Consider the following 16,927-nt stretch of genomic DNA (forward strand, 5'->3'; position numbering starts at 1 on the left):
ATGACACTAGAATTTATATACCACTTCCTCTTAATTTCCAAACATATTTCTGCATAATCATAATTATTACTATCTGCCTCATATTTAAATAGTAAATAAATTATGAAATACAGCCATATGTTCTATTCATAGTCTCTGGGAGCCTGTATTCTAATGCAACTACCAGTTCTGAGCATTTGAGGTCATTTAGGCAATATGAGCATCTCTCAGTCAACACTTCTCTTTGCTTGAATATCTTCTAAGCTAAACTTCCAATTTTAAAATCTTAAGTATTTGTTATTTAAAAAAAGAAACTCATATGCCTGGGATAATTGTAAAAAAAAACCCAACTAATTCTAAATTTAAAATACTAAAGTACTTTCACTTAATTGAATATTTCCTGTTTTTCTATCATATATTATTCCCAACTGTATTTGTCCTTTACCTGTTCATATTGTTCATGATAGTAATCTAAGAGGAAGATATCAGAAGTAAACACAAACATTTGTAATTACTCTCATAATCAGCTGCTAGGATTACATATCAAAAAGTGGGAAGTTTTACCTCCTCACATCGTTTTCTAATATAATATTCTAATATTATAAACTATTATAAAACAGTACAAACTGGAGTTTCAGTTCCTTATTTATGAATTTCATTTAAAAAAACAGCTTAATGTATCTGCCTTTCTGCACAGAATAAGGAGGTTGTGACCTATGTACTTTAAACAGTTCAGAATCACAAGATGGTCTGGAAGAAGACATTCATAAACTATTTTTCAGCATTTTTTTCATATATTTTACACATAGTCTTGAAATGCAATGTGCCATATATGAAATTTTTCTTTTTTTCTTTTTGAGATGGAGTCTCACTCTGTCGCCCAGGCTGGAGTGTAGTGGCACAATCTCACCTCACTGCAACCTCCGCCTCTCGGGTTCAAGTGATTCTCTTGCCTCAGCCTCCCGAGTAGCTGGGACTATAGGTATGTGCCACCACACCTGGCTAATTTTTGTATTTTTAGTAGAGATAGAGTTTTGCTATGTTGGCCAGGCTGGTCTTGAACTCCTGACCTCAGGTGATCTACCTTCCCTGGCCTCCCAAAGAGCTGGGATTACAGGCGTGAGCCACCATGCCCAGCCTGAAATTTTTCATTTGTTTCTCCCTTGAATTTATTCATATTTTCCTTTACCACAGTGCCACTATTTTAAGTACAGCAACCTCTGTAGTTATTCTGTGTCCTAACAAACATATGACCAAAAGTTACAATCTCCTCTACAACCTTCTTAGGTTTTCAATCTTTTACAAGTATTATATAGTGTGTTTTCTTATTTATACCTCTATGGCATCTTTCAATGAACCAGCTAGCAAGAAAAAAGCAGCCGATTGTTCAAAGCGTTGTTTTCCAAGTAAGGAAAAAGCATTTTTCAAAGCAGCTTTTCGCCATCTATCTTCATTAAAGTTGTGGCTGAAAAATGTTGTCATTTTTTCATCATGCTGTGACCTGGGGACCGAGCATAAACATAAAGTGGTTAAACCAAATTTAAAATGTTCTACAGAATGTATAATAATATAAAATAAAAACCTCAAACAGAAATCTAAAAGAAGAACAATAACTTCAAGGACAGGCATTTGTTATCAAGCATCTCTTCACTTCTTCTAAGAAGGAAGGTCAATAATGCCTTATGTATACATAAATAGGAAACAGCATTTTTTACTTTGCAAAGTGCTTTTATCAACTTTTAAAACATCCCATCCTCTAGATTAAGCTGAAAAGATATTTTACCCATTTTTTTCAGCTAAAGGAACCAGGTCGCATAGAAGTGGATTTGATGAAGCTCATATACCTAATTATTTTCAAAAGCATTAGGTTTCTTACTCACAGCACAATCTTCATTCTGTTGAATCACGTTAAGTGTCAAGGCAACTTACCTAAACAGACCCCACACTACTGCTTTCTTCTTCATTGAAAGGTAGAATAGTGCAGCATCTAAGGCATCATTGTTCCTTTGAAAAGAAGCTTTGGCAACCTAAATGATAAATAAAATATTAAATTCACAATTTGACATAAGAATTACAATCAATTAATCAACAATAATGTTCCCCTGCTACTTCCATGGCTGATAGAAACTGTGGAGACAGAAAAAGTTGGTTCTGTTTCACAATCTCCAGTAGGTTATAATATTAATACATGCTCCTAGAGATAACCATTCGCAAGCCAGTAATTATGGTAAAAATCCTAATTACAGCCAGCACTTATTGACTATTTACCACGTCCTGGGCACGAGTCTATGCACCTTTTGTTATCTTATTGCATCACTACAAACCATGAGGCACTATCATTATTCCCATTTTATAGATAAAGTGACTGAGACAGAAAGGTTAAGTGAATTGCCTACAGTCACACAGTAAGGGTTAGAAAAGGGAATAGAAACCACGTAGAACTGAAACTAACATAGAAAGCAATAAAGAAGGCAGAATATTCAATAGATGTGAGCTTTTTCTTGAAAATTCAACATGTTATATTGTATGCAATCATACTGTCTTAAACATAAGAGCATATAGGCCATACCTTATTTTTCCAAGATGCTGAGATATAGCCTCTGCAAATCATTAAGTTGAAAGGCATAATGACAAAACAACAGTGGATGTTTTATTAATTAGCTCACATTGATGGCAAAGCAGGAAGCTATAATACTAAGGTATGGGAGAAAGGGAAAAGACATCTAAAATTACATCATGAAAATGCTTTACTCTCGGGCCGGACGCAGTGGTTCATGCCTGTAATCCCAGCATTTTGGGAGGCCGAGACAGGCAGATCACTTGAGGTCAGGAGTTCGAGGGCAGTCTGGCCAACGTGGTGAAACCCCGTCTCTACTAATACTACAAAAATTAGCCAGGCATGGTGGCGCACGCCTGTAGTCCCAGCTACTTGGAGGCTGGTTGGGAGAATTGCTTCAACCCAGGAAGAGGAGGTTGCAGTGAGCCGAAATCACACCATTGCAATCCAGCCTGGGCGACAGTGCAAGACTCTGTCTCAAAGAAAAAAAAAAGAAAGAAAGAAAGAAAAAGAAAAAAGAAAATGCTTTACTCTCAATACTCTTTTCCCTTCCCCCTTTTAATTGTGTTGTCTGCCCCCTATCATTTAACTTAGTGCTTCAATATGTTAGATAATTTTTAGAGGAATTTTATTTGTATTCAGCTGATTTATAATATACATTTTGAGGCAGAAAATGTACATATCCCTTTGATTTAATTTTAAGAAATAAATTACTTGTGGAAATAAATCATGTGTATATTATCACAGATAATCATAATGACAAGACACATGTTGACAAGAAGTAAAATCTTTGTGGGATACATCTGAAACATTTCAGATAAAGTATGTCCTCTTTTATCCAGTGCTTTGGAATATAAAACATTTAATGTAGAAACTGTATCATTTATATCCTTTAACAATTAACTTTTCCTGTACATCAGAGATCACATTTTTTAGTTGGTGCAGGAATGAATTCCTTCTTATATCTGTGCTTATTTTGAGAAAAGAAATACTGATATTTTGTTGGCAGCCTTACACGTAACAGTAAAATAATACTTTTATACTCACATTTAAAACTGTGATCTGAGAACCATGCACACCAGAATCATGGGATGCTGATTAAGATGAAGAAACCTCAGCCCTACCACTACCAAATTAAAATCTCTGGTTATGGGATGGAGAATATGCATTTTACATAAGTTTACCAGTTGAGTCTTCTCTGGGGAACTACTATTAAGGAATAAATCAGGAAAAGGTCTTTGCATCCTTCGGAGAAACAAATTCATACTTCACAAATATAGTACCACTGATTGTACTCCAGGGAATTCCAAAGGACTAAAAGGAAAATATGAATAAGAATTCCACTTTCCTAATCCTGCTAAAGTAGAAAAGGCACAGGCTAAATCTAACATTTATAAATGACTGGAGTTTGGGCTTGTTACCCATCCTCTCTGAATCTTAGTTCCATCATATGTAAAATGGAGATGATGACATGGGGTTGATTAGAACATAACATGGAATTATTTATGAAAAGCAACTGGCACCAAACCTGGTAGAGAGCTGAACTGAATTTTTTTCCTAAAAGGAATCTACCAGAAAACTGACTCCAAAAACCTGCCTTAAAAACTTTGATAGCCATTTCACTTGCTGCCACAGATATGTTCTTCAAGTACATACAAATCAAAACTGTTTTTATCCAATGAGATTTCAAGTGTGCAAAGAACGTTTGCTACTTATTCAACTAGTGATGCAGAGAGTCCTTTGTATAAAAAGAGTTTTTTAATGTATTGTAAATAACAAACAAGAACTCAAGTTTACTTTCTAAAGTTAGATTTTTCCATTTTCTTAAACCAGGGCATACCTCAACTAATAACAGAAAATATTATTATTCCACGGATATATTATAAATTCAGCCTATATAGAAAGACACAATATCATACTGCATGGACATTTTATAAAGGTCAAGTTTTTGTAATCTCCAAAAAACTTTATTTAAAAAAGTCTCACCAGGCATGGTGGCTCATGCCTGTAATCCCAGCCATTTGGGAGGCCGAGGAGGGCAGATCGCCTGAGGTCAGGGATTCGAGACCATCCTGGCCAACATGGTGAAACCCTGTCTCTACTAAAAATACAAAAATTAGCTGGATGTGGTGGCGCACGCCTGTAGTCCCAGTTACTCAGAAGGCTGAGGCAGGAAAATCGCTTGAACCCAGGAGGCAGAGGTTACAGTGAGCCAAGATCACACCATTGCACTCCAGCCTAGGCGACAAGAGCGAAATTCCATCTCCAAAAAAAAAAAAATTCTCAAGACCTCAAGATAGACAAACAAATTTCCCACTACAGGTTTTCTGGGAGATAGTATCTTTTTTTCGTTAGGAAAAGGTTTTTTTAATATAACTCAAAATCCACTAAAGAAAAGTTACCTTTTCAATGCATCTTCGAAGCGTGTTAATGTTCCTCACCCACCATCCTATGCCCATAGCTCTTAATTCAGACCACTGGGGGTCCCCTCTCTGAATTGCTGGAATCATATTAATCAGTTCTTCTTCAGCCTCAGAATGAAAAGCCCAGGCAAAATGGCATGTAGAGACACCTAAATTGGAAATATAAAATAATAATCTGCGTAACTGTATCAAATAAGAAGAAAAACAATTTTTCATGCAGTCACATACGCATTCATTTTGGAAAGAATTTTGAAGCAGAAAGAAAGAATGAAAGGCAGTCTGTCATCATTCAGGACTTTATACTATAAAAGTTTCTGAATACAAGATCAATAATGTGATACATAAAATCCAAATCTCTTTTTCCCCAAACATTTGTTTTCATTTCCCCTACAAAAATAGGGACACTAAAACTTAATCATTAGAAAGAAAAATATTTGAATATCAGGCCATTCACATGTACGGTACACCAAATTTATCAAGAGGTCATAAGAGCTGCCCAAGCTCACATAACTAGGAAGGTAGGGCCCAGGCCCGATTCCAGGTTTCTCTGTCACCAGGACCTGTGAATCCGGCCCGCCCAAGAGGACACAAGGTGTGTTATCCCCCACAAGAGCCCAGGGGAAGGAAAGTGTGGTGAAAGCTTTATTCAAGTCAAAAGCACTTGGCTCACAGTCCTGGATGTCGATTCCAGTGCCACTACCCCATTCTTCTCTCTAGCCATGGAGCTAAATATCACTTCAAAGCAAGCTCTAAACTTCGTAAGAGTTCCAGAAAATAATAAGGATAAGTTACAATCATGATGTACATTCCTCTGCTTTTAGTGCCTTCAGTTAAAAGTTTAAAGCTGCCTAATACTGATGCTTTTTGGTGAACATTGTTTTTTGTTTTGGGTTTGTTTGTTTTTTTTTACCTGGGAGAAGACTGACAGGGATCTAGGCTGTTTGAAGAGGCAACAAAATCTTTACTGACGCTATTAGACTTTTAAGTACTAATGGATTTATCAACAGTTCAATTACTGATAACGCTCTTACTGATATTCGACTTACAGCAGGTAAAAACGAAACATAATGAATGTGAACCACACAGAATGGTAATCAATAATGGGAATGCTGGCAAGAACTCTGGGAAGCCTTGGAAAGAAGCCAAACTAGTCCAAGTAGCCATCTGTATGAATTCATTTTAGAAACAAAGAAATGTCTGAGGTCAATGAAAGTCACATTACAACATAGGCCTCTCAATGCTATTAAGTATCTATATTGTTACACATAATTTTTTCCATTTTCAACTACTATATAGATTTTGTACATAGTTTAAAGCTTTTCTAATAATTACTGCTTCACTGTAATTTCTTTAGAAAGTATAAAATAAAAACTATTATGATTATTTTGAATAACAATCTTAACTCTTTTAAATTTCCCACTGCCAACACTCATATAACAACTGTGTTTGTAATCATACCACAAAATTAATGCAACATGTCTTGGCTGCCACTATAAATTTAGGGGAAAACACCAGAAAAAATTAATAAAATAAATTTAGTTTTTTATAACCTGAAAGGCAGACTAATTTTTTCACTATTTAAATCTCTGTCTGCTGTGAGAGAATTACTTTATCAAATAATTGATATTCTGCTTCAGCAACTAATATACGGCAACACAAAATGCATAATTTTGCTGATATAAAATATATAATATAAAATGACAATACATAGCATATTACATTCTATATCCTTAAATTAATTAAAATTTTGGTATAAGAAGAAACAAAAATACACACAGACATGTCAGAAGAATTAGGTTCAGAAAGTAAGATTAAGAGCAGTGAATGTATTTGAAAACCTGCAGAGGTGAAAAAAGTTATTAGGGAAGAAAAAGAACAGGGGCACGAATAGGCACTTCTTTTTATTTACCTACCAATGGCAGGCTATTCTCTGCAGTTTACCTCTGCTCTTGCTCTTCTCAGCTTTTCTATCTATGTACTGGCTACTTAACTTTTCCCTGAAAACTGCTCCCAGGACCAACACCTACAACACCAGTCACTTCTCATCGCCAATGTTTTAACTGCAGTCAAAGGGAAAATGGAATTTGACACAGCTTTAGAAATTTGAAGTGTTTTAGACTGCCCTAGGAAATGTACAAAATTGTCATTAACTGATTCAATACCACTTGACTATCACCCAAAACTAAAACTTAAGAGAACGTGGAGATACCATTTTAAAAACCTATCCAAATGGCATAGATTGCTTAAAATGTTAATATCAAATGTGGGCAATGGGGTTGAGATTTGGCATCATCAAACTTCTTTTTTATTTTATATTTTTTATAATTTTTTGTTTTCAATTTTTGTTGGTACGTAGTACGTGTATACAAACTTCTGGGAATGTAAATGAGCACATTTCTGAAGGGCATTTTGGTAATACTTATCAAGACTGAAGAATTTTCATGCCTTTTGATTCAGTAATTCCACTGCTGGAAAACTAGCATGAGGAAATAATCAGGAATGCAAATATTTACATGCCAAGGTACAAGGTTATTCATTAGAGTGATAATTCAAATAGAAAAAATACCTCAGCAAAATCTATTTCAAAAACAAAGGATTGGGCAGATGAAATATAGTTTAGACACAGAATCTCAGATAGCTATTTATAGTTATGTTTTCAAAGAACATTCATAGGTTAAAGGGTAAGTGCCATGGGTAAGAATAACAGTGTATCAAGCCTAGTGTTCTAGGTTCTATAATACTAAGACGTATATTATGGGACTCTTTCCAAGATGTTGGTTTCAAAAGAAATATAGTCCACTGAAATAAGCTCTGGACTGGGATTCGCACTCCCAACTCTTCTAATAAATAGTCCTGTATCCTGGGCAGGTCACTTTTAATTCTATAGTTTCAATTTTTTAATCTGTAATACGAAGGCTGATATAAATCCTTATGTCTCAAATCAGGTGTAGCAGTATGCCTGAAGTACACAAATCCACTGTTATCAATATGGCAGATCTTCCTGAATCATCAACTTTACTTGCTGGCAAATAACTAGAACATAATGCTTACATTAAAGTAAATATAAAAACACATCGCAGAGCAAAGTTTACATAATTTTTCAAAGAAAAGACATCAAGATATTCAGGGCTACTCTGTAGACAGCCACTTTGGGTTACAACCTCAGGCATACCACATTTACCCCCTAAGCTACTACTCTAGTAAATAAATTCTAAAAAACTTAGTTAGATGAGCAAAAGTCACAGAATAGAGCTGAAGGATACATAGAAAAATGGTAAGTGGGTACTATGTGACAGAAAGATCTTAAGCCAAGTGATAGGTGTGCACGTAATGACTTACCTAATGTTTACACACAAACATGATACACCCCATCGCTCCAATATTAAGTAAAAGTTGTGCAAAGCTTCAAACAGTGAGTGAATTACCTTGATGAAGTAGCTGCACTCGGTATAAAGGAGGCAGCGATGTCAAAAGGCATGTGTGTAGGCGCATAGCTAACAAGTATCTCAAACCACACTCATCTAATGTATCTCTTCCTGTAATTTAAACAGGAAATATGTTTAAGGAAAAAAGAATGCAAGAGGCCACAAACTGATAAGCTATAAAACAAACATTAAACTTAGTCATAATTTATATAAAATACATAAGTTTTAGTGTATTCCTTCCTGAACACTTTAACGTCTTTACAAAAAATTATCTTTACAAAAAAAAATGTGACTACTAAACTCTTAAAAGAAAAATGATTTGGAGAAATACAATTAACTATTAGAATAGATAACAAGAACATTTATATTGACTCATAATAAATGAAAGACATCTGGAAATCCAATAAAAAATATATTAACTATGGTAAGTTAGGTACAACTTTTAATAATATTTTCTACATGAATTCCGATGAGATGTAATGGAAATTACATAACTGATGTGAAATCATTTGTTATATATTTAAGCAGGTAGTATTTTCTACTTTGGTTAAATTAACTGAAATATGGTACTATCAAAGATTTAAAATTTGAATACCCAGGCTAGTTAGTGTTACATGGTTAGTTTGAACCTTCACCTTGATTCTACAAATTTATTTATACAAATTAATTCCACTTAGTCAAAGTATGAAGGTATGGCAAGCGTAACCAAAACTATAGCCACTGCTGGATAAAAGCAAAGCAAAAATACAGACAGCACCTAGCCCAATAACTGACACTTTGGAAGTACTCAATGATTATAGAATCAAATAGTATTTTCCAGAAAAAAAAAAACAAAAACTTTTAAATTGCCAAAGATCAAGCCCCAGCTCTGCTTCCCATTACCTATATCCATCCATCCATCTATTTATTTAGCTAGATAGATAGCTATTAGGTTGGTGCAAAAGTATTTACAGTTTTGCCATTACTTTTGCACCAACCTAATATGTATCTATTTATTTATTTATGGACATGAGATCTCACTATGTTGCCCAAGATGGTCTAAAAGTCCTGGCCTCAAGCAATCCTCCTACCTTAACCTCCCAAAGTGCTGCCATTACAGGTGTGAGCCACCATGCTCATTCGTCCGTTTATTCATTCAACAAATCAAGCATCTATTACATGTGAGGGACTCTTCAGGTACTGGGAATTCAGCAGTGAATAAGGCAAAGTCCCTACTCTCTTGGGGATCATATTTTAGGAGGTAGAGACAAACAATAAACAAATAATATGTGGAAATTAATGCTATGAAGGGAAATAAAGCAGGACTGAGAGATAGGGAATGCTGGAGTAAGAGAGTTCTATTTCATACAGTGTGGCCAGGAAGGAACTCTCCAATAAGATGACATGCCAGCAGCAATTTGAGGAAGTAAAGGAACAAGCCATGCATGAATCTGGAAGAAGAGCATTCTAATAGAGTAGAAATGAGCATAGATCGTGTGGGGCCTTTTAGGCCACTGTAAGGCTCTTAACTTTTATTCTAAAGTGAGACAGGAAGGCACCAGTATATGTTGAGCAAAGGAGAGATTTAATGTGATTTGGTTTTAAAAGAATCACTGGTTCCTAAGCAAAGAACAGATGGAGGTAAAAAGAATAAAGCAGTTAGGAGATGACAGGGACTTGGACCAGAGTAGTAACTGCAGAGGTAATGAGAATTGATTATTGGATTCTGGATATTAATAGAACTGATAGCATTTGCCAATGAACTGGATACTGGGTATGAGAGAAAGCAGAGTCAAGAATGACTGTAAGTTGTCTCACCTGAACAAATGGAAGAACTCATTTACTTAGAATCCATTTACTGAGATGTGTAACTCATTTAATCTCTGAGCTTCAGTTTCCCACCTGTGAAATGGAGACATTCATTCCTGCCTTATTACCTCATGAATGTCCACTGTGTCCAGGATACACTATTTCTATATTGCTTAGCCAATGATACAGTTTTGTATTAGAAAGTATAAACTATTTTTTACAAATCATGCCATGCCTACTTTCTTAATGTCCCACAGTAAAAACTAATATATATTAAACACACAACACAAGCTTAAGGTTGTTCTGGGAAGAATCTCATTCAACTGCATACAACCTCATAATGGTTAAGATTTTTCTTTTCCAATTAATAGTGAGAAAATAAGTCATAGGCAAAACCCTAGAAGGTCTCTAGTTATTTTAACCTGCAGAGAAGAAAACTTTGGGGGATATACTATAAGGATGTAAATCTATATGAAGAGATATTTTCCAGCTACCTTTCCCCCACAGATCTGGAAATCATGAAATAGTTAAAAGGGTACAGGCTTTGAGTCAACAGTTTATCCACATATGAACTCCACTTCTACTCCTTAATGCCTATGTGATCTCAGATGAGTCCCTTAATTTCTTAAGGATCAGTGTCTTCATCTATAAAGTTAAACATAATAATAGCTATCTGCTAGAAGACTGTGATAATTAAATATGATAAAGTAAAGAAAGTGCCTGAAACATAGCAATTTTTCACTCCTCCAAAATATTTATTGAATTAATGAAATTCTGATCATTAATTTTCAGTTTCCTTTGCCAATGCCATCATTTACAATCAACACCATTACCCTGAACTATGTGCATAAAAGAGAATGGAATCTAGTTCCAGGAAGCAGCCAAAAATTTTCTAGTTACAGAATGAATTAGGCAAAATACGTATGACATTAACTGTATGGAAATCTCGCTGAAGAGACTTTTTGGAGAAAATTAGGTAATTGTAAAAAGTTGTTTATGGCTAGAAATGGGAAGACCAACAAGTTGAGCCCATGAGGTCCCAATAAGCCTCATGATTCCATAGTAACATTAACAAATGGGCTGTTATTATCAAAGAAAAAATCATAGGGATCAATCTGTGTTAAAAAACAAGAGACTTGGCCAGTCCATGGTGACTCATACCTATAATCCCAGCACTGTGGGAGGCCAAGGCAGGAGGACTGCTTGAGCTCAGGAATTCGAGACTAGCTGGGGCAACATAAGGAGACCTAGTCCCTACAAAAAAAATAAAAAGAAATTAGCTGGGCCCCATGGTGGTGCACACCTGTGGTCCCGGCTATTCAGGAGGCTGAGATAGGAAGATTACTTGAACCTGAGAGGTTAAGGCTACAGTGACCCATGACTGCACCGCTCAACTCCAGCTTGGGCAACAGAGCAAGACCCTGTCTCAAAAAAACAAACAAAAAACCCACCCAAACACACACAAAAAAACAAGATTATAAATCCAAAATGACACAAAGGTTTCAGTGTAAAAACTCATGAGAGAATGCACATGGATCTCACAAATCCATGCATTCATATGCCGGCCTCAACCGTCTTTTCTAACTGAGCATATTATATAATAGTAATTACCTATTAAGGAGGTCTTTTCCCTGCAAAGTTTGAAAGTTGAGACTGCAATTCAGTAAATGAGTCAGTATAGAGATAATACAAATATTTCTATTAGGTACAACTTTATAAATTTTTAGCGAGAATATTTACCTGAGCAACTCTTATCTCTGCTTTCATCAAGCTCAGTACTAGTAGTAGCCACTGTATCAGCCAAAGCTACAAGGAACATCTGCTCCAAACGGGTAAGGCCTGGTAGACTTGAGTGCATAAGATGACTTGAAAGTACCCTTGCATGTTCTTGGCCAAAGTAAGCTGGTCCATATTGAGAAAGATTTATTACTTTTGATTTGTTTTCTCTCTTTTCAGGCTCTAAATCAATATCATCCGTTGGTATATCCTGGATTTGAAACAGCTCTGAATACTGATCCTCTGGTTGACTTACTGTCTGATCTTCATAGCTCTGTGGTATCTTTGTACTTTCTTCTGAAATTCTGTAGGATGTATCTTGATCTGCAGCAAGTAATGCATATAGTGGTAGTGGAGGGATAGAATCTATCTCAGTATAATCTCGAGTACCATCTTTTCCTACGGTGACTGTTTCCTTTGCTGTACTGCCACTTACACTAATAGTTCGAGAGAGATGTCGCTTAGTTCCTTCTCCAGCATCAGGATCTCTAACTATTGCTACTTCACCTGCAATACATTTTACTAAATGAGAGAGAATGGCTTTAGCCCTTCGCACTTTCCCTAAATCCATCAATTCTAACAGCTGAGTTGGATGATATTGTGGAAGAGTAGGGGAAAGTACATGTGCAGCCTCAAATAAGCCACCATCTTGAATTACAGTTGGTGAACAAAAAACATCATCAGAAATAGCTGTTCCTTCAACAACACTTTTTCTTGCCAGCATATTAGATTTAAAGGTCGAATGATCTTGCATTGCTGCCTCTTCTGCATTAGAACTATCAGCTTCAGTGTCTCCAAATTTGACAGCATGCTTCCACTGTGCATATACATGCATTTCACAATCCATTCCTACCACCAATATCCCATCTCTTACCCAAGAGAGAGAAACAGGCAGTGAAGGAGTACCATCAACAGAAGATACCAAGTCTATAGATCTAAGAAGAACCCATCTTGACTTAACTCCTTGCTTGATACTACCACCTAGTGGTAAAGTGATGACAGCTACTCCATCCTTACTGTTGGTTTGCTCAGTCACAATTCCTGAAAGCCTTCCATACATGAAGATATTCGCACCGACTCCCACTGTAAGAATGTGGGAGCCATCTTCTTTTGATACCCAGTCCAAATGTACTAAATGTTTGATATTCGGAATAAGATATCTATCCTTGCTCAAGAGTGCATCTGACTTGCTATACACAAACAGATTACTGTCGACGCTGACCCTTGAATCAAGTACACTCCCAACCTTAACCAAATCATCAAGATGAATTGTTTGTTCTAAAACCCACTCTGATCCTCCTGTAGATTCACATTCAAATATACAAACATGCATGGAAAATTCTTTAGAAACAAAACCATTATGGTGGATAGGCTGCTTATAAGCCACTGCAAGGCGACCTGTGTATGAACAGCTAACAGCAACTGGTCTTCCCACAATGCTCACTGTACTGCTATTATCTTCTCCTTCATCATTCATCAAAGGCCATCTCTTCCAATGATAAATTTCTTTCTCATCACTTTTATTACACTCTGGGTTGGCTTCCATACAACATTTCCAGAAGCGTACTTTATTGTCAGAACAAGTTGTAACCACTAAATAAGGTGCAAGGCACACTGGATAAATTGAAGAAGAACTCAGATGGCCTTAAAAAAGAAAAAGCAAATAGTTAGTTGTAATAATAATAAAGCCACAAAATAATATGGTAGTAATCAAATTCTGGAATGTGATCAATTTAAAGTCACTATGAGCTTCTTCAGAATATCTCTGCAGTCTTCCTCTTAACTAGTATCCCACTAAATGTCCATTGGCCAACATATCTATAAAGGTCTTGAAGAGCCCATCAGTGAAATCAAGGTATGCAATAATAATCACTTAATTTGTTTTTAGGTAATTAAGTTTAAATGAGGCAACCATTTAATTAAAATAAAACTCAAAAGCACTGAAACAAGTCAGCCCTTAATGTGTTTCTATTATTTATATTTACCTTCACAACATGCCTCCTTAGAATTTCATACTATATATTTAATCATTTTCATCATGAATACTTAACTGAGCTTTACAATTTGCCTTTCAAATGCCCCTAACCTTCTCTCAAATAATCCAGACCCCAGGTGGTACACCAAATTTTGTTTCAGACCGCAAAACAGACCAATAGATCTTACCCATTTTACCAAGTTTAATTCATCCTCTCTTAGCACTGAACCAGAACCCTCTTATCTATTCCTGACTGCCAAAGACTAACAATGCACATCTGTTGTCAACTGTAAGACAAGGGGATATAGAGATTAAAGATCTGAGGTCAGAAGATCTGGATTTGAGTTTCAACCCATCAATAATTTCATTAACAGTGGGAAAGCTACTTAATCATCTGAGCCTATTCCATCTAAACAATTGGGATCAGTTACTGTTTCCCCTAGATTACTATTGTCAAATAAGACATTTTATAAGGCGTCTGTAAAATATAATTTATTATCACGAACTCCAATAAACTTATTTGAGTATAACCCAAACCTTTCAAATATTTTGAAAGATTAACAAACTGGCCTAGATCTGCACCAGCCACAAAAGCCCAAGAGTACACTCTTCTCAATATGATCTTTCCAACTGTGAATGCAAACCTGTCTTACGGATGAATAAGAAAACACCTATACTGAATATCATTCACCAGTAATTTTAGCGGCCCCGAACCTCCAATTTTGGTTTCCCAAAAACACTATTCTAGAAACTCCCCAATTAAAATTCTGCAAGTAGATCACTTTAAACACAGCTGCCAGACTTGCCCTCAAAATATCTACCTTGCTAAAGTCAGTATCATTCCAGACCACCCAAACTATAGTCTTTTATCCTACATTTTTCCTCAGAGTATCTGCCAACTGTTGTTCAAACATTCTTAATAAAGGTGAGACGTGATTACCACAATGTGAATGAAGTCTTAAATTTTAAAAAAAGCCTCAGTGGTTTACAAATGAATGTATTTGTTCTTCAAAATTTTACTATCATTATATTCCAAAGTGTAGGCAAGACACCTCACATTAAAATATTTTCACTATTGGCTGGGCGCGGTGGCTCACGCCTGTAATCCCAGCACTTTGGGAGGCCGAGTGGGCGGATCACAAGGTCAGGAGATCGAGACCATCCTGACTAACACAGTGAAACCCCGTCTCTACTAAAAATACAAAAAATTAGCCAGGCATGGTGGTGGGCGCCTGTAGTCCCAGCTACTCGGGAGGCTAAGGCAGGAGAATGGCATGAACCTGGGAGGCGAAGCTTGCAGTGAGCCAAGATAGCACCACTGCACTCCAGCCTGGGTGACAGAGCGAAACTCCATCTCAAAAAAAAAAAAAAAAATTTCATTATTTTGGCCGGGCGTGGTGGCTCACACCTGTAATCCCAGCACTTTGGGAGGCTGAGGTGGGTGGATCACGAGGTCAGGAGATCGAGACCATCCTGGCTAACACGGTGAAACCCCGTCTCTACTAAAAATACAAAAAAAATTAGCTGGGCATGGTGGTGGATGCCTGTAGTCCCAACTATTCAGGAGGCTGAGGCAGGAGAATGGGTGTGAACCCGGGAGGTGGAGCTTGAAGTGAGCCAAGATAGCACCACTGCATTCCAGCCTGGGCGACAGAGTGAGACTCCGTCTAAAAAAAAAAAAAAAAAAAATTTACACTATTTTCTGTCAAGCTGATTACATTTATCACAGGAAATTTTGTGGGTTTGTGTGTGTGTGTGTGTGTGTGTGTGTGTGTGTATGGAGTCTCACTGTGTCGCCCGCCCAGGCTGGAATGCAGTAGTGTGATGTCAGCTCACTGCCGCCTCCACCTCTCGAGTTCAAGCAATTCCCCTGCCTCAGCTTCCCAAGTAGCTGGGATTACAGGCACGTGCCACCACGCCCAACTAATTTGTGTATTTTTAGTACAGACATGGTTTCGCCATGTTAGCCAGGGTGGTCTCGAACTACTGACCTCAAGTGATCCACCCACCTCAGCCTCCCAAAGTGCTGGGATTACAGAAGTGAGCCACCGCACCCAGCCAGGAAATTATTTCTAATAAAGACATGTTTCTAACCATCTAGACATATCATTAATAGAAAATCAATCTTTATTTTAATGTCAACATAGAACATATTTCAGAAGAGTTCATCTATTTTATCCACTAAAGAGTTCATATATTTTATCACTCTGAGCTACCACTGCCCAGTCTTAAAGTGACCTTACCTGCTGAAGGCGTTGCTCTTATTACTTCAACTGATTCTGGGAGATCAAGGGGTTGGCTATACACCAGTCTAGAACTCAGAATAAGTTTACTGGCAGTTTGAAGATTGGCAATTGATGAAGAATGTGGCATGGGGCTCACACTAGGAGAGGTTTCTGGAGAAGAATCTACGTTCTTCTGTCCAGGGACTGAAAGTAGACTCTCAGAGGAAGCCCCTTCTGAAGCTTTAGCTTTAAAAATAAATTATAAAATTACAAAATGTATGTATATCATTACTATAAATAGGAGCTAGAATATTACTTTGTTATTATTTAAGAAACATAGCTTCTTAAAAGTATTTTGGAGGTGAGGATATAGAGAAAAGAGAGCTCTTTTTAAAACAGAATGACCATATGACTCAGCAATCTCACTACTAGGTGTTTACCCAAAGGAAAGGAAATCAGTATATCAAAGGGATAACTGCACTCCCACATTTATTGTAGCACTATTCACAACAGCCAAGACATAAAATCAACCTAAGTATCCATCAATGAATAAATGGATAAAGAAAATGTCATATATATACACAATGGAATACTATTCAGCTATAAACAAGAATGAAATCCTGTCATTTGCAGCAACACAGTTGGAAATTGCAGGTCAGTATGTTAAGTGAAATAAGCCAGGCACAGAAATACAAATATCACCTGTTCTCTCACTCATATGTGAGAGCTAAGAAAGTGGATCTCATAGAGGTAGATAATAGCATAATAGATACCAGAGA

At 36.6% G+C, this 16,927-nt stretch overlaps 1 protein-coding gene across 22 annotated transcripts in view; it reads right to left on the minus strand.

Annotated features, from left to right (window-relative positions):
* Window positions 1–16,927, minus strand: part of DMXL2 (Dmx like 2) — a 174,981-nt gene that overhangs the window by 38,849 nt on the left and 119,205 nt on the right. For 19 of the 22 annotated variants that reach the window (NR_165648.1, NR_165649.1, XR_007064435.1 and 16 more), the window contains 6 exons: window positions 16,167–16,394; window positions 11,913–13,592; window positions 8,385–8,495; window positions 4,939–5,108; window positions 1,909–2,006; window positions 1,315–1,480 (listed from right to left, as the gene is read on the minus strand). Coding sequence is in view for 19 of the 22 variants with exons in the window: in NM_015263.5 (NP_056078.2) it covers window positions 1,315–1,480; window positions 1,909–2,006; window positions 4,939–5,108; window positions 8,385–8,495; window positions 11,913–13,592; window positions 16,167–16,394 (2,453 nt within the window). In the remaining 3 variants the exon portion in view is untranslated. Of the gene's footprint in view, window positions 1–1,314; window positions 1,481–1,908; window positions 2,007–4,938; window positions 5,109–8,384; window positions 8,496–11,597; window positions 11,826–11,912; window positions 13,593–16,166; window positions 16,395–16,927 lie in introns of those variants that run through there. The other 3 variants (NM_001174117.3, NM_001378460.1, XM_047432321.1) reach the window with 3 other exon arrangements.

This window comes from Homo sapiens, chromosome 15 (assembly GCF_000001405.40).
Source record: "Homo sapiens chromosome 15, GRCh38.p14 Primary Assembly".
Lineage (NCBI taxonomy): Eukaryota > Metazoa > Chordata > Mammalia > Primates > Hominidae > Homo > Homo sapiens.